We start from the raw sequence: 23827 nt of genomic DNA, 5'->3' as shown, positions 1-23827 counted from the left end.
CTGAATCTAATCATGAGGAAACATTCTATAAAATAACTGGCCTGTGTTCTTCAAAATGCCAAGGTCATGAAAGACAAGGAGAGACTGAGGAACTGTTTCAGAATAAAGGAGACTAACAAGAGATGACAACTAAATGCTGGATACTGAACCAGACTGACTTTGTTCTGTGCCATAAAGGACATAGTTACAGTAACTGGTCAGTTTCAGTGGGTCTCCGGATTAGATGGCAGTACTGCATCGCTGTGAATGTTGCTTTGGATGCTGCACTGTCACTATGTTGGAAAGTGTTTTTGTCAGGAAATACTCATTCAAGAATTTAGGGTTATGGGCATCACATCTGGCGTAAATGGAATAAATTCCCATGTGGCACACAAGTTGCATGTGAGCACATGCGCACGTACCTATGTGGACAAATATAGCTATAAATAAACAGAGAATAGAACACGTGATACAGCAAACAGCGACAGGGGAACCTGGGTCAAGGCCAGCCAAGAGTTCTTTGTGTTATTCTAACAAATTTTCTCTAAGTTTGAAATAGTTAAAAAAAAATTTTTAATATTAAGGAAAACAAATCGTTTTTTTCTGATAATAGAACATAAAACTGCTAATTATCTGCTTAAATACAATGAAAAACTGGTTGTAGCTGTGCGCCACACCTTATTTCAGTATCTCTTTACTCTTCAAATTTGTTAATCTTTTTTTTCTTCTTCCCTTTCCTTCTTTCTTCTTGATGCCTCAGGTTTAGTAGTAGCACTCAAAGGCAATGTTTGCTATTAACAGAACTCTAGGTTTACTAGTCCTTATGTCAAAAATCAGATAATTTTAAAAGCCAGATGAAAGAAAACATTCTATAAGTTCTATTATCCTCTGTAACACACAACACCATGAAATCGGAATCATATTAAGCTCTGTGATAAAACTGTTGTTGAAGTATCTCTGATTACTTTAAATGTCAGTTTAATTCCAAAATTATGTTTTACTACTTTCTGTTCTACTGGAACATAGTGGCAAATAGACAACTAAAAGACTCAAAGTAAGACTTATTTTATCTTTAAATAATGGGTAACATTTTACTAAAAATGAATACGAAAAAGGAATTACACTACGGCAAAACTGGAAATTATAAAAAGCAAAGGATAACTACTACTAAAATTTTAACCATATATATTATGGTTAACATCATACATAACATACATATGAAAGACCACTTCTATGAGGTGTTAATGTAGCATCTGGAAAACCTGGTGTTTCTAACAATCCAAATGAGTTATCTGCCGCCTGAATGTTTCTGCAACAGTTTAATGGAAGAATAACAACCAAGCTGAAGCTTCACCGTTTTAATGGTTAGCATGTCAGAAATGTGATCTGGTTCATAAAAGAAAAAAAATTCTAGACATTTAAATAATTTAGATTACCTAGAATTTGTGTACTTTTATATTTACTAGTGAAATACAATGCTTTAATTTTTTATCTACCAGTACTGCTGTGCTATATCTAAAATTACTAAATTTATTTCAAGGAATCCCTAGAGACGAAGTTAGGACCTGGAATGAAATAGTTGTTTCTTTTCTTTAATAAAATTCATATTTGAGAGGTTTGACTTAATTACCTGTCAGATCCATTCCAACAACATTCAAATTTGTCAAATATGCAGTCATTTTCATACAGTGAACAGAGTTTACTTCTGAGGTATTCATGCACCTGGGGGAAAAATACAAATATACTGCACTGAAATTAGGAAAATGATTTAACAAGTCCATATCTTTAAAAAGAAAAAAAGGGCATATACAGACACATACACACACCTTTTAAACCTATTAATCTCAATCTTCTCAGTAACAATAAAGGCATTTTGTCCTTTTACAAAACACACAAGCCCTTCAGGGAGGTACATTTTCCTACTGGTATGACAAAGGAAAACTCCATTCTGGGCATGGCACACATAGCCTTTATAAGCCTGAATAAAACATTCAGGCCAAAAACACTTGAAAATGGCACAGTTAAGAGACTAATAAAAGAACATTATAGCAATATCTGAATATCACTATTCTTGGCTTTCAGTCCATTAACTACTGATAACAACACTGAAACTGTGCCTATTTCTTTCTTAAATACCATTTTCTGGGCATAAATTTAACTGAAGCCTATATTTTCCATTATAAATGCACATGTATGCATAGCGTAACCATGCCTTGGTTTGGTGATAAATTATATGGTTATTCTGGGCATATATTATTAAAAATTTGATAGTATCATATTATACAATGTCAAAAGCTAACAAAGCTGTGCCTGTTTTTTGAATTATATAATTCTGTATTTACTAATATGTCAAAAAAGGATAAACTAGAAATCTCATATTTAAAAAGTCTGAGAAATATGACATATTTCAACATTAATATTAATTACAAACAAAAGTTCCAAAGTATTTGTTGTAACTCAAAGGAAAAAAGGAAGTGTCTATATTTCACCATCTCTTTTTAAGGAGCTACTTAAGGAGAAATGACAGAAATGAGAAGGTACCTTCTAAATGCTTAGAATTCTCTATTCTATATGAAACAATCTAAACTTATTTTCAGTGTCTATTTTAACTTTAAATATAGTGGAATGATTCAGGCCATGTCTCTGTGACATTAAGTGAAAATCTGTAATACAGAGGAATAGCAACTCATGTGGGGTTAGGATCAAAAGTGAGCATGTAACACAAAAAAATCAGTAAGAAAAAAATACCCTTCAATCACACAAAACTTGGCAAGATGCTGGTACAAATTCAATAAAAATAGTTTTATCTATATATGATACATTTGCCTATAATGTGACTACTTTTAATCACTACTCCAACTGTTTATAAGTAGAAAAGTAGCAAATCAGGTAAAATTAGGTAGATTATCATAATTTAGCAACATTTTAGAATGCACATTATAGAGTTTCTCACTATACATCAGTATGAAGCTAAGCTTCAAATCAATTCTTCTCAATGGGAATGAAATGATGGTGAGGGTAACTAGGAGATATATCAATCTTGGCAGTTACACAAATAGAAGTCTTTTTTCAGTATACACGAGGGATGGGTTCCAAGAACCCCAGGTATACCCAAATCTGCAGTTAGCCCTGCGGAACCCACACGTGAAGTTTTGGCCCTCCATATATTTGAGGGGTTTGCATCCCTCAAATATTGTATTTTCAAATGTGCATTGGTTGAACAAAACAAAACAAAAAATCTGTGTATGAGTGAACCCATGCAGTTCAAATCCATGTTGCTCAATAGTGAACTATACTTTGAAAAGCAAAGCAGTATTTTGTCTTTTGTTTCAGTGCAGTATTTATTTTGAAATTTCACGTATCAAAAACAATCTTCGTTTATGTTTGTCAGAGGATTTAAAGTTTGAGAAACATACTTCCCAGTCTATTGAGAATATATAACATAAAGAAAGTATATGTATAAATTAGAGTTAAGTGATTTCAACACTGCAGTCTAGGGCCTAGCACAGGTTTGTGCTGTCCCTCACCCTGTTCCAGGCTGTGTACTTCATTCTCTTCTGTTTGATGTAGTGGACACGGATAAACAGTAGTGGCTGGCTGATAAGAGAATCAAGAACTGACATCCAACAACGGATAGGCAACTCCTAAAGCCATCTGCTAAGGCTTTCAAGCCCTTTCTTTTAGCTGAAGACAACAGTTATCTGCCAAAAGGCAGAACACCAGTCCATTTGACTTGGCACACCAAATTTAATCTCTAGTTCAACTACTCCCACAACCTGAGCAGGTGCACCTCTACTAAGGACTGGCCACTTTCTCCAATCCTCTTCCTGCCCAGACCTCAATGAAGGGTGCTCTTCCATCCTCACTTTAAATGTACATAGTGGCAGAAAAAAAAACAATGTCAATACTGAACCAAATGGGTAGCAAAATCACACTTTAACTGCAAAACTCAAGAGACAACACAACCTATGTAAGTATATATACATTTAACATAAGGAAGAGCAACATACTCATAGATCTCTGAGGGAAAAGGCCTAATGGTGAACAAACACCATACAGGGATTAAAACCTAGTAACAAAATCCTTCTCTATAAACACTTCAAAGTAAACAGGGTATATGCTCATTGAAAGAAAAAACTCAAATACCTGGTATGTTTCCACAGGCCTGTTTTCCATATTTAAGTCCCAAATTTTGACTGACAAATAGTCTCTAGTCATCATATATCGACCACTATGGCTGAATTTTACATCCGAAATAGAGGAGATGATTTCGGAAAAAAATGACCTGTTACTGGGATCTTCAGGTTCTTCAAACACTAAAAACAAAACAAAACAACACAAAAAGGGCAAGGTGTACAATATTCTGGCTTGGACAAAGCATTTCCTAAACAACCATTCACAAACTCCCTACAAGTGAGGTAAAATGCCAGGCTAATAAAGAACTGAAAAACATCTCTCTGGCTAGAATTCTCCTGAAAGCTTCTTAGTTTAATTGAATATTGAAGTTGAAGATGCATAAGTATGCAGTATACTTCCAGTCATATGACTAATTTAGAACCAGACTCACCTGGGACTTCTGACTTCAGTGCACCAGGTTTATTGGTATTATTCCTGCAATATGCCTCACTGACTGCCTGTATCATCACCATGAGAAACACACCATCCTCGCCCATCCCAAATTCATACCAGGATCTTATTTTCTAGTAGCCAGGTAAAATTATTTTGGTAACAGGCATGTATCAATTTTCATGAGTTAATATTCAACAAGACAAGAATATTGTATCCTGAAGTTTTTAAACCAAAGTTGTTTTTTTTTTTTTTTTTTTAAGCCAAGGAAACCTCAGAAGAAATCTTCCTAGGAAGCTCAAAGTAGGAAGGGAGGATGGGAAAGAAAGGAACAGCTCTACTTCAATACAAGGTTACAGAGCCCAACCGCAAGTTACCAAAGAACAACAGCATTCCATGAGAGATATATTCCTTGGCAATCAATAGACATGCCCCCCAAGAGAGCTTCCAGGAATAACCTGGAATGCCTCATGAGGAGGTAGGCAGATTACCAAGGGTACAAGTGGCTCTGGACACACGGGTTTAAGACTTTGAACCTCTGTAATTGTACTTATCATGTCTGAGGCTTATTTCAGACAAACAGAATATGTAATCATTTTAAGGAAAGATACAATAAACTTACATTTAGAATGTCTATCACAGAGGGCAGATGCCCTCATGTCACATAGCCGAATAGTTCCTTTACTGCTGCTGTATACAAATGTGTTACAGCTGTTTGGATGAAATTCTGCTGCTGTAATCACCTCTGTTAGCTCTTCCATATTGGCAGGCTTGATATCCACAATGTCTAGATAACATTTTATTAAGGAATTTCCACTTAGAAAAAAGGGCAAATATAATTCTACATTTCTCAAACCTAAAACCCATTCATGGACCTAAGCAAAAATATTAATTCTGAATTGCACTCCACTGTTTTTATGAGTATAAATTCCAAAGGGATTAAAACTTTTTTTTTTAATTTTTATTTAGACGGAGTTTCACTCTGTCACCCAGGCTGGAGTGCAGTGGCGCAATCTCGGCTCACTGCAGCCTCCGACTCCCAGGTTCAAGCGATTCTACTGCATCAGTCTCCAGAAAAGCTGGGATTACAGGCGCACACCACTACAACTGACTAATTTTTTTTTTTTTTTGTATTTTTAGTAGAGACGGGGTTTCACTATGTTGGCCAGGCTGGTCTCGACCTCCTGACCTCATGATCCATCCGCCTCGCCTCAGCCTCCCAAAGTGCTGGGATTACAGGCATGAGTCACTGTGCCCGGCCTCAATAGAATATTTTTATTTACCCAATCATGCATCATGACTTGCGTGAATTTCTTTTTCTAATCTTAATCTAATCGTAATCTTTAATCTTTCTTTTTCTAATCTTTTTCTAATCTAATCTAATTATTAATCTTTTTCTAATCTTAAAATTAATCTTAATCTAATCTTAAGATTAATCTTAATCTAATCTTAATCTAATCTTAATATCAATTAATATAATATATATAAATCTATATATATATATTTTTTGAGACAGAGTTTCACTCTTGTTGCCCAGGCTGGAGTGCAATGGCACAATCTCAGCTCACTGCAACCTCTATCTCCCAGGTTCAAGCAATTCTCCTAACTCAGCCTCCCATGTAGCTTAGATTACAGGCATGCGCCACCATGCCCGGCTAATGTTTTGTATTTTTAGGAGAGACGGGGTTTCACTATGTTGGCCAGGCTGGTTTTGAACTACTGACCTTAGGTGATCCACCCACCTTGACCTCCCAAAGTGCTGGGATTACAGGCTGAGTCACCGCAGCCAGGTGAGACTATTTTTACAATAAAAAATTCAAATACAGTAGTTCATACATTTGATTAGAAGAAAAAAAATTTTTTTAGAGACAGGGTGTTGCTCTGTCATCCAAGCTGGAGTGCAGAGGCACAATCAAGCTCACTGTAAACCTTGAACTCCTGGCCTCAAGTGATCTTCCCACCTCAGCCTCCCAAACCGCTGGGATTACAGGCATAAGCTACCATACACAGACCTCACAAATGTGATTTTTAAAACAAAAACCTAAATTATAAAAAATAATCCTATTTACATAGATACAATAGACAAATTCCTTAAAATTCCATGAATCCAATTTTAAATCAATACATTATGCCCTTTATGTTTAGCAAATAACTTTTTCCAGTATTTCATTACTCATCTACAAAGAAAAAAATAAGGTGCCATACATATATGTACACAGACTATAAAAAGCAACCAAATTCATTAGGAGAGATGAAATAAATCTAATATGGGCACAACATGCCTTCTTCACCAAACACCAAAGAAAACCAAATGGATACTAAAACTCCTGTCTGTAATTTCCAGATGCCAAAGATTAATCCGCAAATCATCTGCAGATAAATATGTTTCATAATCACTATTAATAGAAATTGAGTTGATGTGATATGTATGAGCATTGGCAAATATTCTTCGTGGACTGGCCTCAACCATTAGATCCATAGGCCTAAAGACTGGCACCTGTCAATAAGACACATGAAAAACAGAAATTACAAAAGGCTCAGTTTCAAATAGCAATTAAGATTCAGAAAACTTCATTATTTCAGTTTTTGAGAACATAAAATAGAACAATATTACATAGATTTAGTTTTAAAAAGCAACTGATGTTGATCCTTTCGAGTGCTGAAGAAAAAATGAACAATGTGGATAATATATCTTCTTTTACTGGTTGCAATACTATTAGAATTTGCAGTTCTTAGTTTCAATATTTTGCTTGAAAGACATGCCAAGCTAATAAATGTTTATGGTTCAGATTAAAGAGGCTAAAAAGAAAATTAACCCATAACATCTAATTCTTGGTATTTTTTAGCTACAACTAGAAGATTTGATCTGTATCTACTTTTTTGATTTCCAAAGAAAATTTATCTTGAAACTTGACCTTGTGATAGCTAACATGACAAACCAGAGATGAAGTCTGATGGCGTGAAATACTGTCTTGTGCTTGAGTCCTGCTTCTGTCCCTGGCCAAAGTGAGACCTCTATGTAGGTCAGTTTCTATGTTTAAATGAGTTACTCAATGTCCTACCTGATTACAGAATTACTGGGAAAGGGGAGATAGACTGTAATTATTCCTATTCAAGCTCTGCTCAGGATTTGGGCTATATAATATGAATACAAGCACTATCTGTGACATTTTTTTCTTATGTACTTACTCGTAGTGTAGTAACTGTAGTAGGATCTCTATACCTTCCATCCTCCTCTTTCAAGTTATACCCTTCTGGTCTTTTGTCCCTTTCACTGATTTTCCATAATTTTATTGTTTTATCTGGGAAGAAAATAAAGAAAAGTCCTTAAAATACTGAAGAAGAAAAACATTTTAAGGCATTTAAAATATGCTATTTCACATTTCACGTAAAAGGATTCCACGAAAAAAAAAAAAACCCTAATCTGAACTTACTAAAAAATTTCCTATTATCAGCTGAATAACATACACACATGGAAATAAAGTGCAAAGATTGGTGGCACTCATAAATTCCATGTGATAGTCAAATCAAGTCACAGACAGGTCTCTATCCCTGTCCCTTAAAAGTAATTAAAGCTAGAGGGAAAAACTTGATATGCATGTGTGGTGTATGCAAACACATATATGTCTGTACCTACATGTAAACATATACATGTTCAGTACTGAATTTTAAAAAATTTAAAGGGAACAATGAAGTTGATTAAGACTGCCTATTATGTAGAATCAAAATAGTAAAGCTGCTCTCCCTTGCTCCCACTTCTTAGCAGAGCCTATCAAAGATTCCACAGAGGCCTCCATAGGACTGGATGCCTCCTTTTTAAAACCTTTCCCCTTCTTGTATCAGGGTTCACAAGTAGGAAACAGGGCCTGAAGAAAACTGATTAAAAGCATACATCCCCAAGTCCTTCAAGAAGAAACCAAATTCCTAGGTATCAAGGATATATAAAATGGCATCTGTTTAAAAACAAACTTTTGTTTTACAATTAAGTTTAGATTTACAGAAAGTTACAAGAATTGCAGTGTTCCATATATCCTTTACCCAGTTTCTTCTGTCAACATCTTACGCAACCATGGTACGTGTGTCAAAACTAAGACGTCGACTTTGTATATTACTATTAACTACAGACTGCATTTGGAGATTTAACCAGGTTTTCCACTAACATTCCTTTTCTGCTCCAGAATTCAAACAACACTGCATTTAGTCATCAAGTTTCCTTAGTCTCTCTGCCTTTAAGTTTCTCAGGCTCTCCTTATTTTTCTTGATCTTGACAGTTTTGAGTAGTGGTGGTGAGGTACTTTGTAGAATATCCCTCAACTGGATTTGCTTGCTCTTTCCTCATGATCAGACTGGGACCATGGGTTTTTAGGAACAGAACAGAGAGATGAAGTGACTTCTCACAGCATTGTTCAAAGGGATACATGGTATCAACATGACTTACAGCTGGTGGCGTTAACTTGGGTCATTTGGTTAAGACAATGTTTGCCAGGCTTCTCCACTATACAATGACTCTTTCACCCTTGCCATATTCTGTTCTTTGGAAGTGAGTCACTAAATCCAGCCTGTACTTAAAGGGAGAAATAAGTTATACTCCCTGTAGGGAAGAGTATGTATCCACGTCTTATTTAGAATTCTCCTGCAGGAAGCATCCCTGCTCTCCATGTATCCATTCAATTGTTTATTTGTATCACTATAGGCTCATGCATGTTGATTTAAAACTGTTACAATTGTATAACAGTTTTTCTTATAGAAAAGCATACATTCCTAACGATCTTTCATAAGCAAAATGGTGTAACAAAATTGTTTATAACAGTATATAAAGCCATTTTATAAAAACAGAAACAACTCAGAGAGATGCCAGTGACTCTAGCCTGGCAGTCTCTGTATCGTACAGAAGAATGATAGTTGCCCCTAAGGATGCCCTTCCCAATGATGAAGTGTAAACAGAGAAAAACTGCTAACTTTAATCATCTGTAATCTATTATTTCTTCTAAGCCCTATGTGACCTTGCTTATAATTTTCTTGTAGTTCAGTCATACAGATTTTCTATGTGTTATTTAGTTTATATATGTATATGATTTATAGATAGATATGAGCCTAGCCTAAATCTGTATTCTGAGAAGTATTTGTTCTAAATACTTGCAAAGTATTTGTGATGAGGATGACAACACCCCCGCCCCCTGGTCCAGTTGTCTTGTGGCCTGTTTAAATCCATCCTCCTTATTAAAGATCCAAATAAAGAAACCACAATGTATTTATGAAACTTTCAGATGAGATAAAATTAGTTTGTGGTGCCTAATAGTGTTTACAGGAAGAAAGCTCTTTAAAAAATGTTTTTTCCTTAACACAAACACAGGACACATATGAATTAGGATACATTTTTCAGTAAGGTGGGGACAAGGCAGGCAGGAAATAAATCAGTATGTTAATAAATATGACATAAATTTTTAAAAAATCAGAATCCTTATGTTCTACAGCAGTGATATTTTATTACCTGGAGTTTTTGGCCCATAAGACAAAGTATGTGAGAATAATCAAACTCCATAAAACTGTATGTGAGATTATGTAAAAACACAGTTTTCAGTGGAGACGTTATTAGATTCTCAAGATCTGTTCCTTCCAAAACGACCACACTGTGGTGTTCCCCTGAATTATCAACACTAATAACTAAAGCATTGGAGAAACTGCAGAAGAACAGAGTTCCTCTCACCACAAGCAGAAGGTATGAGAGGTATGAGCAGGGAAAACCACGCTGCCGTTTCCTTTGTGGGAATGCAGCTTTATGTAAGACCCTAAAAAACTTATCAAGAAGTTGTTAAGACACACCCTATTTATGAGTGAACTTTACATTATTCATATATGTAACACTCATGGTTGACAGGTCAGTTTCATGTTTTCTGCAATGTAGAGGAATTAATGAGAATTCAGAGGAGCAAAAGAAGATTAAAGAGAAAGAGAATTAAAATGCTTGAAGGAACATTAAATTAACTCAAGTTATAAGGTGACTATGACGTCCTTTAAGTAAAAATGATCTGGGAAACCCAGTTCATATAATGATCATGGAAAGCCAATGCAAATATTTTTATAAGATTAATTTTGGTTAATCAAACCTGGAAAGTTTGGTACTATTTTCCATCATTCTCCCACAGATATAGTTTTTATATAGACCCATTATATTGGGGGGGGGGGGTGTTACTATGCTCACAGAAAAAACTCACAGAGAAAAATACACAAAATAATATAAAAGATATCACTCAGAATCAACAGATGTTGACATTTTTCTCTAAGTCTCCTTCTTTCCAAATAGTTTTTCAGATATAGTTCAAGTCCTACTCCTCCCATCCTTTTCCCATCTACCCAGACACAACAGTTCATATGATTCTCATAATCTGCTTTATCCTTCCACATTGGACTCTATTATTAAGCACTTATTTTAGCATTAAAAAATGCAGCCCCCAGTTAGCTGTATTTTACTTAGTATTAAGAAACAAAAGACAAAAATCTACAATGCATTCTCTAATGTCTTTAAACAAGATTTAATCCATAGACGTTGTAATCGGATTTGCTTCGAAATAACACTGAGGAGGAGGGGAAGGGGAAGGATCCGAGACACAAATTAGCCATGAACTGAGGAGTGTCAGAAGTGGATGATGAGCATGCAGGGCTTCACTATACTATTCTCTTGAACTCAGCCTACATTTAAAAAGTTCTCTTTATAAGAAAGCTGATGTAGCCCTATAAGAAATAAACTGACATAAAAATATTCCAATATATAAAATGTTAACAACACATTTCCCTAGGAACATTTACTTCTAAAAGTAGAAATTATATAAATGGTTTAATTATGTATCATCTGATGCCAAAGAACAGTGTCTAAAATATTTGAAGCTATTTGAAATAACTTAGTTTACCATATAAATTAAAACTGACCCAAGACTAGAAGCTAGCATATGACAGGAATAAACTGTTCCCTCCACCCATAGTGCTGTGATTTACAGGCTTTAAATAGTTACTTCTCTTTATTTTTCTTCTAATAAGGACAAGAGAGGGGAATGCAGTCTATTGTGAAAACAGAGAAGGCAGAGGGTACGCATCTCAATGGACTGGCTGGGGAAAGCTTTCATGATCAGAAAAACGGGCACCCAGGAGGCGGCCAACGCTGATGGCCATCAGGCATTTGTGAACAGCATTTCTAAGAACTAATACTGTGGACGAGGGGCATCAATTAGATGGAGGAAGTGCTGAATTTCTTCCCCCATTTCATCCTGAAGTCATTTAAGTATATATTCTGCAAATGTTTATGGTCTAGGTGTTAGAATTTGCTTTTTAAATTAATAGTGAGGGGATGAGAAAATAAGAGGTTCCCCTCACCCTAGCACCAACCTCAAAAAAGTTTTAATCACAAATTTTTATAGACTACGGCTACCCAGAAACTAAAGTATCTCCTCAGTCACTCTAATGATTCCCTTTAGACTCAAGACCCCAACAAAGTCCAAACAATTCACAGGAAAAAGTTTTTCATAAGAACAAAGAGAAAGCACCCAACTCATCATAAAGGATTTCAAATTCTGGTAGAGTCATTACTAACTTTTTTTTTTTTTTTTTGAGACGAGTCTCGCTCTGTTGCCCAGGCTGGAGTGCAATGGCGCGATCTCGGCTCACTGCAAGCTCTGCCTCCCAGGTTCACCCCATTCTCCTGCCTCAGCACCCCCGCCCCAGTAGCTGGAACTACAGGCACCCGCCACCACACCCGGATAATTTTTTTGTATTTTTAGTAGAGACACGGTTTCACCATGTTAGCCAGGATGGTCTCAATCTCCTGACCTCGTGATCCACCCGCCTCAGCCTCCTAAAGTGCTGGGATTACAGGCGTGAGCCACCACGCCCGGCCTGTCATTACTAACTTTTAATCCTCACTCAACTTTTCCTGGGCCAGGCATAGTGGCTCACACGTGTAATCCCAGCACTTTGGGAGACTGAGCGGGGCAGACTGCTTGAGCCCAGGAATTCAAGACCAGCCTGAGCAACATAGGGAGACCCAGTCTCTACAAAAATGTTTTTAAAAAATTAGCCGGGTGTGGTGGCACTCACCTGTGGTCCCAGCTACTCAGGAGACTGAGGTAGGGAGGTCGAGGCTGCAGTGAGCTGTGATTACACCAATGCACTTCAGCCTGGGCGACAGACATTGTCTCAAAAAACAACAAAAAATGTTCCCTTGGCAAGTAAACAGTAGGAGAGGAATCTCCTTCCAGCCATGTGGATTGCTGGGAAGAAGGCAATATGCTAATGGTGATCAAGTAAGAAAGTGCTCTCCTATAGCGTATCCTGGAATGGAGACCATCCTTTGAGTATTTTGTATCTGCAGTTTGAGATACTCTGTGTAGTTTACAAACACTTAAAAAGGAGGAATAAATTAACATTTATTGAGCACTTGCACTCATGATGTATGTGAAGTTATTTAATATTCATAATAATACTATAATAAAAAATTGCTATCTCTAGTTTGCTGCTGAGGAAAATTCAATTCAGTGTTAGTAACCTGCCCAAGATTACGAGACTGAGAAATGACAGAAATATTACCTGACCTAAATCCAATGGTATAGCAGCCCATTCTTTTCACTACAAATTGGAGGTGTAGTAAACAAAAAATTGCTATCAGAGAATCTTTCAGAGAATCTAAAAACTGCAAGTGACAGTAAAAAAGTAGAGTTTACATTCTGTATAGAAAAACAAAAGTCCTTTTTACAAGTATCTCTGTTAAATGATTCCTCTCCTAGGCTACAGGATATGTGCAACAGGTACACACAGTGGGCACATGGAAAGAAAATATGTATACTTACCATTGGTAGACAATAAAAACTGAGCAGCATTTTTCTGGGGTAACCACCTAATTTTGTTGATCTTTTCTTCTATTTCTAAACTTTTCAAGTAGTCAAACTCTGGTTCATGGCTCTGGAAGGTGCTGTAAACATTATATTCTCCTCTGCTATGAGACTGGATTTTGTTCTAAAATGAAAACAAAAATATATGGACCATTGTTGAAAAATATTTCAAAATAATCAAATATGTAATCAATTCCAAAGGACCCTGCACATTCTCAATACCCCATTAGTTGTGTCTTTATACAATTACATTCTGTTTTTTATATTTCTAAAGGCCTTCAAGGATTAAATGAGAAAACTTAACGGGGGAAAAGGCTAAATAAAGCTGAATAAATAAGCTCAATTCATTAGGGAAATAATGACGTTAAATATGGATCAATTTGATTGCTAATTTACTCTTATGTATTTGATGGTATAGTCTATGAAAAAAACTGATGAAAAAAAACTGAGCACCCATAATAAGGAAGTTCATCTAAAAATAATGATAAAGTCTTGCCCAGAAAGAGCTAGGTGAGGCACACCTTCTTCCTATGCCCACTTTAGGGTCAACTCCCCGATCTGTTATTTAATATGATGTATTGTCCTTTTCCTTTCTGCTGCCCGCCTTTTGGTTATTTCGCTGCTGAAAGCTTAAAAAAAGAGCTCTTATAAAAGAAGGGATACCATTTGACCCCTACCTCCCACCCCAAGACCACTGTTCCAGACAGCTTTGCTACCAATCAAGTCCATATTCAGCACTACCCAGCAATGGCCCCATGCACCCCCATCAACAACTGCTTACTCGCCTTAAATTTGCTTTCTCATCTTATGAACCTGGCACACACTGATGACTAATTTCATTTAGTATCACTTTGAAAAAATGTAATTTAAGCTATCTCATAAAGGGACTACTTTTGAACTACTCTGGTTAGCATTAATATCTCAGCAAAAGTGAGAATTATAATCATGTTCAGAATTTCATCTTTTGACCTATTATCACACGATTAAAAACATTTTCATAAAAAAATTTGAAAGTCTAGTTCAAAGAACCACCTATGGAAAAAGTTTAAGTAAAAAATAGAATGAGATATTATTGACAGTCAACTATTTTAAGTAAAAGTGAGTTACCCAGTGAAATGTTTAGAACTTCTTGATAATAAAAACAGCCTATTACTATTCTCCATATCAAAAGGAAACTTCACTGAATCATCTTGAAAGTCTATGTTTTGGGTTGTTTTTTCCAGCAGCCTGATGATCTGGGTTGTTCATTCATGGATGGTTGTATTTGAACCCTTGGACAGCAGTTATCAGTTATTAGAGGGCAAGTCTGCCAATGTTAAGAATACATGTCCCACAAAACGATCCACATATCGGGGATACACAAGGGGTAAAAATCAGACTCAGAGCCTTGGTCTCATCACCATACCCATACACAAAATTAGACAGCCTATTCCATTAACATATATAAATACTCCAGTATCACTTTAAAGCTCCACAAATCTTTTACCTAAAATGACTCACCCAGTCTCACAAAATTTATCATTATAGTCTACAAGGAAACCACAATACCATTAAGCAGGCAACTCGATTTTTAATATAAATCCTGCATTTTAGACTGGTTTTTCATTTAACACTTAAAGAGACTATAATATATAGTACTATGTACACTAGGGCGTAGAGGGATAGACAGAATCCCCACATTCAAGTAACTTGTGTACGTCAAACTTTAGTCAAAGTAGAAACTGGTTATGGTCTACACAATTAAGGTAAGCAATATGAAGGGCCAAGGGCGAGCCACACATTGTATTTGATGAGTTAAGAAAAGCACAAAACAACAGAAATATTTTCTGAAACAAAACATGAACATCTTCCTGTAGACTCGTGGACAACAACACAGGTCTACTAAACATGGTATCTTACAGAATCCAAAAACAAAATCATAGAGGTATATGGCAGTTTCGTGGACTGCAAGAAGCTCCATCTCTTTGCAACAGGAAATAAATTAATGTATCACAAAAGGAGAAAATTCTGTCTAAAAAGCTCAAGATGCCAGGCTGAGCACATGCATTAGCCTCCCCTCTCTCCTGAAACTTTATTAAAGTGATCATAACAGAACTTTTAAAAACAAGTCCACAGGACAAAGAGTAATGGCAGAAATGACAGCAGCAGTAACAAAACTGAAGAGGCTATAAAACAGATGGGTACAAGTGGTAACTGACAGTAGACCACAGGGAGCTGCAGCAGACTTTTCCTAACACTTTGGGAGGGGATGTTTACATTATAATGATCATGATAGCATTGTTCCCTGCACAAACAAAGTACAGTGAGCAAGCCTGAATAAGAAGACACATAACCGCATACTCAACACTGAGCCACTCAAATGAGAATGCATCAAAATCAAACACAATGTTTTTGTTTTAAAAACCTCTCCTACAGTCATACAGAATTGTGACACATCCTTCAACAATTCATACTGGCTTTACCTGCACAGCATTTTCACCTCCCTCTCTTTTCTTGCTTGCCTTTATGATCACTATGAGAATCATCTTCCTAACCATACAATCTATTTGCATGAAAGTTTCTACAGTAAGTTTAGATGTGCTTTATTCCCCAGCACCTATAACAGTACTTGGCACATATAACAGGCATTCAATAAAGACTTTCAAAGCAGGATTTAGAATGAGCTATGTCACATACTTTACATACATTACAAACACAGGACACAAAACCAAAATCACACATTTTCAACACAGATGCTAACAGAATTCACTAAAGGACATCATAACCAAGTTTTAAAGCAAAGTCATAAAGACTGTGTACTGGCATGAGGATACACCAATGTGCCAATGAAACAGAACAGATGGCCCAGAAACAGGCCTAAATGATGACAAAGGTTGCCTTGCTGGGCAATGGGGAAAGGATGGTCTTTTCACTAAATGGTGTTAGGTTGACTATTCATAGGAAATAAAATGAAGCTCGACCCCTTCCCAAAACCACTCGTAAAGTGATTACAGATGAATAAGAGATATAAATGTGAAGGTACAATAATTAAGTTTTAGGATAACAGGACCCAAGAGAACTTTTCTGCAATGATGGAAATAGTCTGTATCTGTGTTGTCCAGTATGGTTGCCACTAGTCATGTTGAGCACTAGGCACACACTGAACACCTAAAATGTGGCTACTGCAACTAAGGAAGTTAATTCTACAATTTATTTTTAATAATTTAAATTTATTTATTTACTTATTTATAAGGTAGTAAGGCTGACTTTAAAGAGGGCCATGGAGACAGGGACCACTGCAACAGGGTCTTGCATTAGGGGAGAGAGAACAGACTCAACTCCCCATTAATCTGAATAGCCACATGGATCTAGTAGCTACAGTACCAGTCATACAGTTCTAAAAGATAACGGAAATGTCTTCCCTGGATTTTGGGGTTGAAAAGTATTTCTTATACAGGACAGAAAAACCAGTAACCCTAAGAAAAATACTGATCAACTGTATTATATTAATAATCTCTATTTATAAAAATATACTATTCAAAAAAATGAAAAGGCAAGTCACAGAATGAAAAATACTTCTAACAAATGTGTGGGTTTTCTTGTTTTGTTTTGTTTTGTTTTTTAAAAAAGATGAGGTCTTGCTATATTGCCCAGCCTGGTCTCAATTTCCTGGGCTCAAGTGATCCAACCAATTCAGCCTCCCAAAGTGCTAGGATTACAGGCGTGAGCCACTGCCCCTGGATCCTCCAACAAATGTAACTGAAAAAGAGTTCATCTACAAAAAGTGTAAAGAAAGTCTACAAATCAGTAAGAAAAATGACACACAACACAGAAAATTATAAGAGATTTCGATAGTCACTTCCAAAAGATAACATCCAAATAGCCAATAAACATATAAAAAGCAGCTCTGGCTAGGAGTCGCAGCTCATGCCTGTAATCCAACACTTTGGGAGGCCAAGACAGAGGATTGCTTGAGGTCAGGAGTTCAAGATCAGCAACACAGTGAGACCATCCCTACCAAAAAAAGAGAGAGAGAAAAAAAAAATTAGTCAAGTGTTGCAGTGCACGCCTGTAGTCTCAGCTACTGGGGAGGCTGAAGTGGGAAGGATCACTTGAGTCCAGAAGTTTGAGGCTACAGTGAGCTGTAAGCGCACCACTGCACACTCCAACCTGGGCAACAAAGAAACACCCTGTCTCAAAACAACACAACAACTACTCAATCTCAATGTGAATCACAAGAGTAAGTACAAGGCCGGACGTGATGTCTCATGCCTGTAATCCCAGCACTTTGGGAGACTGAGGCGGGCAGATCACCTGAGGTCGAGTTCGAGACCAGCCTGGCTAACACAGTGAAACTCTCTCTCTACCAAAAATACAAAAATTTAGCTGGGCATGGTGGTGCATGCCTGTAATCCCAGCTACTTGGGAGGCTGAGTCAGGAGAATCACTTGATGGGAGGAGGAGGTTGCAGTGAGCGAAGATCACACCAACTGCATTCCAGCCTGGGTGACAAAGCAAGAAGACTTCGTCTCAAAAAAAAACAAACAAACAGTAAATACAAACTTAATTCATACCCACAAAGTGTTAAATTTTAAAAGACTGATAATACAACACATAGCACTGGCAAAGATGTAGAACAGCCATAAAATTTATATACTGTTCACAAGAATAAAATTAGCAGAACTTTTTACTGTGATGTCTGCTAACAGTGAATGCCTACCCTATGGGCATAATATTTCTACTCATGATTGTACAGCAAAAAACATGAGTAAGAATGTTCACAGCAACATTACTCATAATGGATAAACTGTGGATTCCATCTATTCAAAGTTCTAAAACTGCAGGCCAAAATAATCATTAATAAGACAGGCTCATAAAGGAGAGGAAGGGAAAAGAGAAGGGTTTGTGGAAGCGTAGGAAGTTCTATTTCTTGACCTAAATGTTTGCTATGTAATAATCTGCTAGTATTTTATGTACTTTTCAGTGTATATTTAAATAAAGATTTTAAAATATATACCACACATATGTTGCAGCCACTATGGAAAACAACGTGGAGATTCCTCAAAAAAGCTAAAAATAGAACTACCATATAATCCAGCAATCCCACTTCTGGATTTTATCCCAAAGAACTGAAAATGGGACCTCAGAGAGGTGTTTGGACAGCCATGCCCATTACAGCTTTATTCTCAAGAGCCAAAAGGTGGAAGTAACCCAATCAATGGTTCCAACAGTCTCTTCGTCTCCCTAACTGGAAGGCAGTATTTCAACCTGAGAAAACATTGACAGTACATAAAACTAAACATTACAAAGTGATATGTACAACATGAGTCTCATTCTGTAAAACAAAACAAAAATCCCCAACAAAACACACACACATCTACCCACCCACCAAAACTAAGCAATATTATTTTCCCTTAAATGAACAAAAAATTAAAAATGTGATAATGACCATTGTTTTAGTGACAGAAAGGCAAAGTCACATACTACTGGTAGAAGTATAAGCTGTTCCCACAAGCCACAAGTTTATTGAACCTTGTCACCTAAGTTATAAGATGGAGTATGTTCTTCCCAACTATTCAAGTGCCCCTTTCTACTCAATGGTTCCAACAGTCTCTTCATCTCCCTGACTGGGAGGCAATATTTCAACCTGAGAAAACATTGACAGTAAATAAAACTAAACATTACAAAGTGATATGTACAACATGAGTCTCATTCTGTAAAACAAAACAAAAATCCCTGAGAAAACCACACATACATACACACACACAGGTCTTCATTTTTCATTCCTGTTATGGGATGGTTTTGATTTTATTCTTTGTGGAAATGATACACATTTTTCCTATTTTCTGCAATAAACATACTAAGAATAGTCAAGACTTAAAGGCAAACTTCTGAAAGAATTTCACTTAACATTTTTCAACAGCTACTTCTAAATATAAGTAACTCCATTGTGCTTTTACAGGCTGAGTATCCCTTATCCAAGATGCTTAGGACCAGAAGTGTTTCAGATTTCACATTTTTTTCCATATTTTGGAATATTTACATATTCATGATATTATCTTAGGGAGGGGACCCAAGTCTAAATACAAAATTCAGTGGTTTTGTATATACCTTATACATATAGCCTGAAAGTAATTTTATACAGCATTTTAATTAATTTTGTGCATGAAACAAAGTTTTGACTGTGACCCATCACATGAGGCCAGGGGAATTTTCCACTTGTGGTATCACATCAGCATTCAATAAGTCTCCAATTCTGGAATACTTTGGATTTTGGGTTAGGAATGCTCAACCTGTACTAACTTTCTCCTTCCTTAAATGAAACTCTGCAAAAATGTAGGAAATATTTACTTTGCTCCGTGGAAAAAATTTAAAAATTTAAGAAAATAATAAATGTATTTTACTTTGATCTCATATAGCAGAAAATAAATGAATATTTTTAAGCCTCCAAATAGAACCCTACTAAAACTTACTGTTTATTAATGTTCATCTTCTATATAGTGTAAGCAGTCATTTGTTTTATATTTTATAGCAGTATAAAAGTATTTTAAAAGAGTCAGTGTCTTGTGAAATGGGCATTCAGGGACAGTGGCAGAAATGGTACAAAACAAAATTAAATGATATCTGATAACTACTCTCAACACATTCAGAAAATATGGGGAACTTTCTAGAATAAAGCAAAATACAAGTCATTCGATGAAATAAACACAAGAGAAATCTCAAAACTTTCTCTAAACTAATGATAACGATAGTCATGGAGCACTTCAAGATTTTGCAAGGCCTTATTAAATTATGTTCAGTAAGTTAATACTCATTCACTGAGTGCCTATTATGTACTATTCTAAGTGCAATTTGGAAGCGTATCAGTCACAATATCCTATCAAAAAAACAATAATATAGTGGGAGAGATATCTGAATGAAGGATACCTGGTTGAAACAATTAGAAAGTCAAATCAAGTAGCATTATTATTTGTCTATAAGATAGTCAAATAAAATTTAAAGGAAATGCATAAAATACAATTAATATAATGCTTTAAAACCTAAAGTTGTTAAAGTGCTTTCACTCAGATTATCAAACTAGCTAGAATATCTGTTCTAAACTATGCTACAGATTAAGTGATAAAGTTACATAGGAGGAATGCTTATTTATTCTACATTTTACACATTACTGAAAGGAATGGAAAAAAAAAAAAAACCCTCCATGCACATGCGCGTGGACACACACAAACACCCCACACGAAAACTGTGCCTTGCTCAGATGCTAGCGCTCTTCCCCAGTTCTATCAACAACCAAGGAATGGAGGCAGATCTCAAGGCTCTCCAACCTTGTTTCTCTCAAAATGGAATTTCAATCTAACCTGGACCCTTAAGGAGTTGGTTTCTCTCTGAGAGAAGATTCAGATGAACCCTACCTGGTGTTAGATTAAAAAAAAAAAAAAAGATTCATTTTACTACTTGTGTCTCTTTCCCTTTGAAGTTCATAAAATATAACAATCCCCTGGATCACGTTTTCTTCATGTGTTAAATACAATTTATTCTCTCAGGACAGGATAACTTTGGGAATTTAATGCAAAAGCAAGTAAAGTTCAAATATTAGTTTCTCTTCCAGATAAGGATCAAGTGCAAATTCTATCATTTAGAAACAACATGATGCAGGTAAATGCATGACACCCCGACATTTGAGGCGCCTGATTTCAGACTCTTCTCTGTGCCTCAAATTGGAGAAATAACAAATAAGATCGGATCAGATAGTCTTCAATGTCCTTTCCACTGGTAACATTCTAATAAGAAAGTCCTCCATACCCCTGATAAATTGACTACAGATGAAGTTCGCTAGAAAATTCCCCTTTGTAAAGGCACAAGTCAAATCCTTCTTAATAACTAGACACTAAGAAATATGCAACAACAACTATTCTGATCAAGTATTTACTCTGAAAGGCTATAGAGAGATATTTGAGAAAGAACCCAATTTCAATACATTTCAAAACCTATCTACACAACTCAACTGTAAGAAGGAACGAATAAAGTAGAAAGACTAGCAGAGTTCATCATCCTTGAATAAGACTTTGAAAAGCTAAAATATAGTGAAGTCTAGACACAACTCTGCAGATGACTGATCTAATGTGCATTTTAAATCCATGTGAAAAAATTTCAATAAATAATGTAATAACCAGCTGGGTGTGGTGGCTCATGCCTATAATCCCAGCACTTTGGGAGGCCTAAGTGGGCAGATAACTTGAGGCCAGAAGTTTGAGACCAGCCCGGTCAGCATGGCAAAACCCTGCCTCTACTAAAAACACAAAAATTAACCAGGCATGGTGGTGCACGTCTGTAATCCCAGCTACTCGGGAGGCTGAGGCATAAGGATGACTTGAACCTGGGTGGTGGAAGTTGCAGTGAGCTGAGATCATGCCACTGTACTCCAGCCAGGGTGACAGAGTGAGACTCTGTAAAACTAAAATAAATAATAATAATAATAATAATAATAATAATAACCCGACTGGTAATCTGTGAATGGGTGGGGAAGGTGGAAGAGAAAAAAATCACTTCATCACATAATGTAGGGTAATAAAGTCTAACTAAATAATAAATTTAAAAGGGAACAAAAGAATGTTTAAATAATCTGTGGGCAGAAAAACAAAAAGTAAAATAAAATTTAAAGGCAGCCAATCAACAAAGCTGAAAAACATAATGCCTCGTGAGAAAAAGAGCTGATGCCGTCTCTCACAATATGTGGCCCATCCAAATTCAATAAATACACCACTAGAAAAAGAGGGCATAGAACAAGATGCTTTAATTATTGGGAGTATTAAGGCGTAAAGTAAAACCAAAATCCAATGAAATAATGTATTTTCAATCACCAAGTTGCTACTTTTCTTTTTTTAGAAAGAGGGAAAAACACAGTAACTGCAAAGGGGCAGTCGCTCACCTCCCAACCCTGAAAAAAGAGGCAGAAATAAACAATCTAGGAATCTAACAATAGAGACTAGATCAAATAAACATAATTATGTCATGTCATGTCATTACAGAGATGGTGATACAGAAAACTGAATGACATGAAAAGGTATTCACTATACAGTATGTGAGAAAAAAAATCATACAACCCTAAATTTATAATCAGATATTCAGAAAGACAGGCCTTTGGTATATACCAAAAGTTCTTATTTTTGTTTGGTGGGGTTATACATGCATTCTTTGCCACTTATCCATATTTACTGAATTATCTACATCGAGCATAATGAATTTATAATTAAGAGGGAAAAATTATTAATAATAAGAATACAATGAAATGTTTTATATGTGTGAGGCTAGGGAGAGCACAGGAAGAAGGAAAGGTAAATAAATTCCAAGTTTATTAATTAAATAATTAATTCCAAAATTACTGGGCATTATTAATTTCATAGATTTGGAGTTGTTTTTGGTGGAGAATTTCTTGGGGATAGGTTGAGCATACCTAATCTGAAAATCTGAAACCCAAAATGCTCCACAATTTGAAACTTTTTACTGTCAACATGACACAAGTGGAAAATTTCACACCTGGCCTCATGTGATGGGTCACAGTCAAAACTGTGTTTCATGCACAAATGATTTAAAATGTTGTATAATTATCTTCAGGTCATATGTATAAGGTGTATATGAAACAATTTAATTTGTGTTTAGGACTTGGGTCCCATCCCCAATATATCTCATTATGTACACATGCGCATATTCCAAAATCCGAAAACATCTGAAATTTGAAACACTTCTGGTTCCAAGCATTTCAGATAAGGGATACTCACCCTGTATAAGAAATATGGTTAATTCAAATTTCTGCTCAACGGGTAAAATTAGGTACCCATTGAGCCGATATTTTAAATATTTAAAATACATGATATTTTGCTTTTGGGAAATGTAATACCCTAAGGAGCCCCAAAAGATTAACAGGTAGCTGACAAGAATCTGATGGCAGTCTGGACAGAAATCTGGACGCTAAAAGGCTGAACAAGAAGAGATGGCTGGGCAAATGCATAAATGAATACCAGGACTAGAACCAAGGCTGTTCAACTCTTAGTCCATTTTCCCCTCTAACACCTATGACAGAAAACAGATCACTCAATAGCTCATATTAAAAAGTCTAAGGATCACGTACTTTCCTCATTAGGTATAAAGTAATGAGACTGATTTTCCTGTGTGATTTCTAACAATTAGGCTCATCACACCAAACAGGATTAAAGTTTTTTTTATTTTAATATCAATAGCCAGCATTGTGAATACTCATCCAAATTTACACAGAATTAGCTTTTACCCACTTACCTAGCAGGGTGCTCTTGGAAATGTTACTTATCCTCTCTAAATCTCATTTTATTTATAAATTTGTAATACATCAAGATATAGTAAACATACATACATCTTTGTTATTTTGCTGTGATGATTAAGTAAGATTT

The 23827-nt window shown here is 36.0% G+C and overlaps 1 protein-coding gene across 10 annotated transcripts in view; it reads right to left on the bottom strand.

The window, feature by feature from the left end:
* The window catches only part of PPP2R2A (protein phosphatase 2 regulatory subunit Balpha), an 81173-nt gene that overhangs the window by 4665 nt on the left and 52681 nt on the right, over positions 1–23827 (bottom strand). For 8 of the 10 annotated variants that reach the window (NM_002717.4, XM_005273559.2, NM_001177591.2 and 5 more), the window contains 6 exons: positions 13383–13548; positions 7735–7847; positions 6865–7042; positions 5168–5332; positions 4126–4295; positions 1610–1701 (listed from right to left, as the gene is read on the bottom strand). In NM_002717.4, the coding sequence (NP_002708.1) occupies positions 1610–1701; positions 4126–4295; positions 5168–5332; positions 6865–7042; positions 7735–7847; positions 13383–13548 (884 nt within the window). Of the gene's footprint in view, positions 1–1609; positions 1702–4125; positions 4296–5167; positions 5333–6864; positions 7043–7734; positions 7848–13382; positions 13549–18943; positions 19051–23827 lie in introns of those variants that run through there. The other 2 variants (XM_047421935.1, XM_047421936.1) reach the window with 2 other exon arrangements.

This window comes from Homo sapiens, chromosome 8 (genome assembly GCF_000001405.40).
Source record: "Homo sapiens chromosome 8, GRCh38.p14 Primary Assembly".
NCBI classification, from domain to species: domain Eukaryota; kingdom Metazoa; phylum Chordata; class Mammalia; order Primates; family Hominidae; genus Homo; species Homo sapiens.
This window is presented reverse-complemented; position numbering and strand designations above follow the sequence as displayed.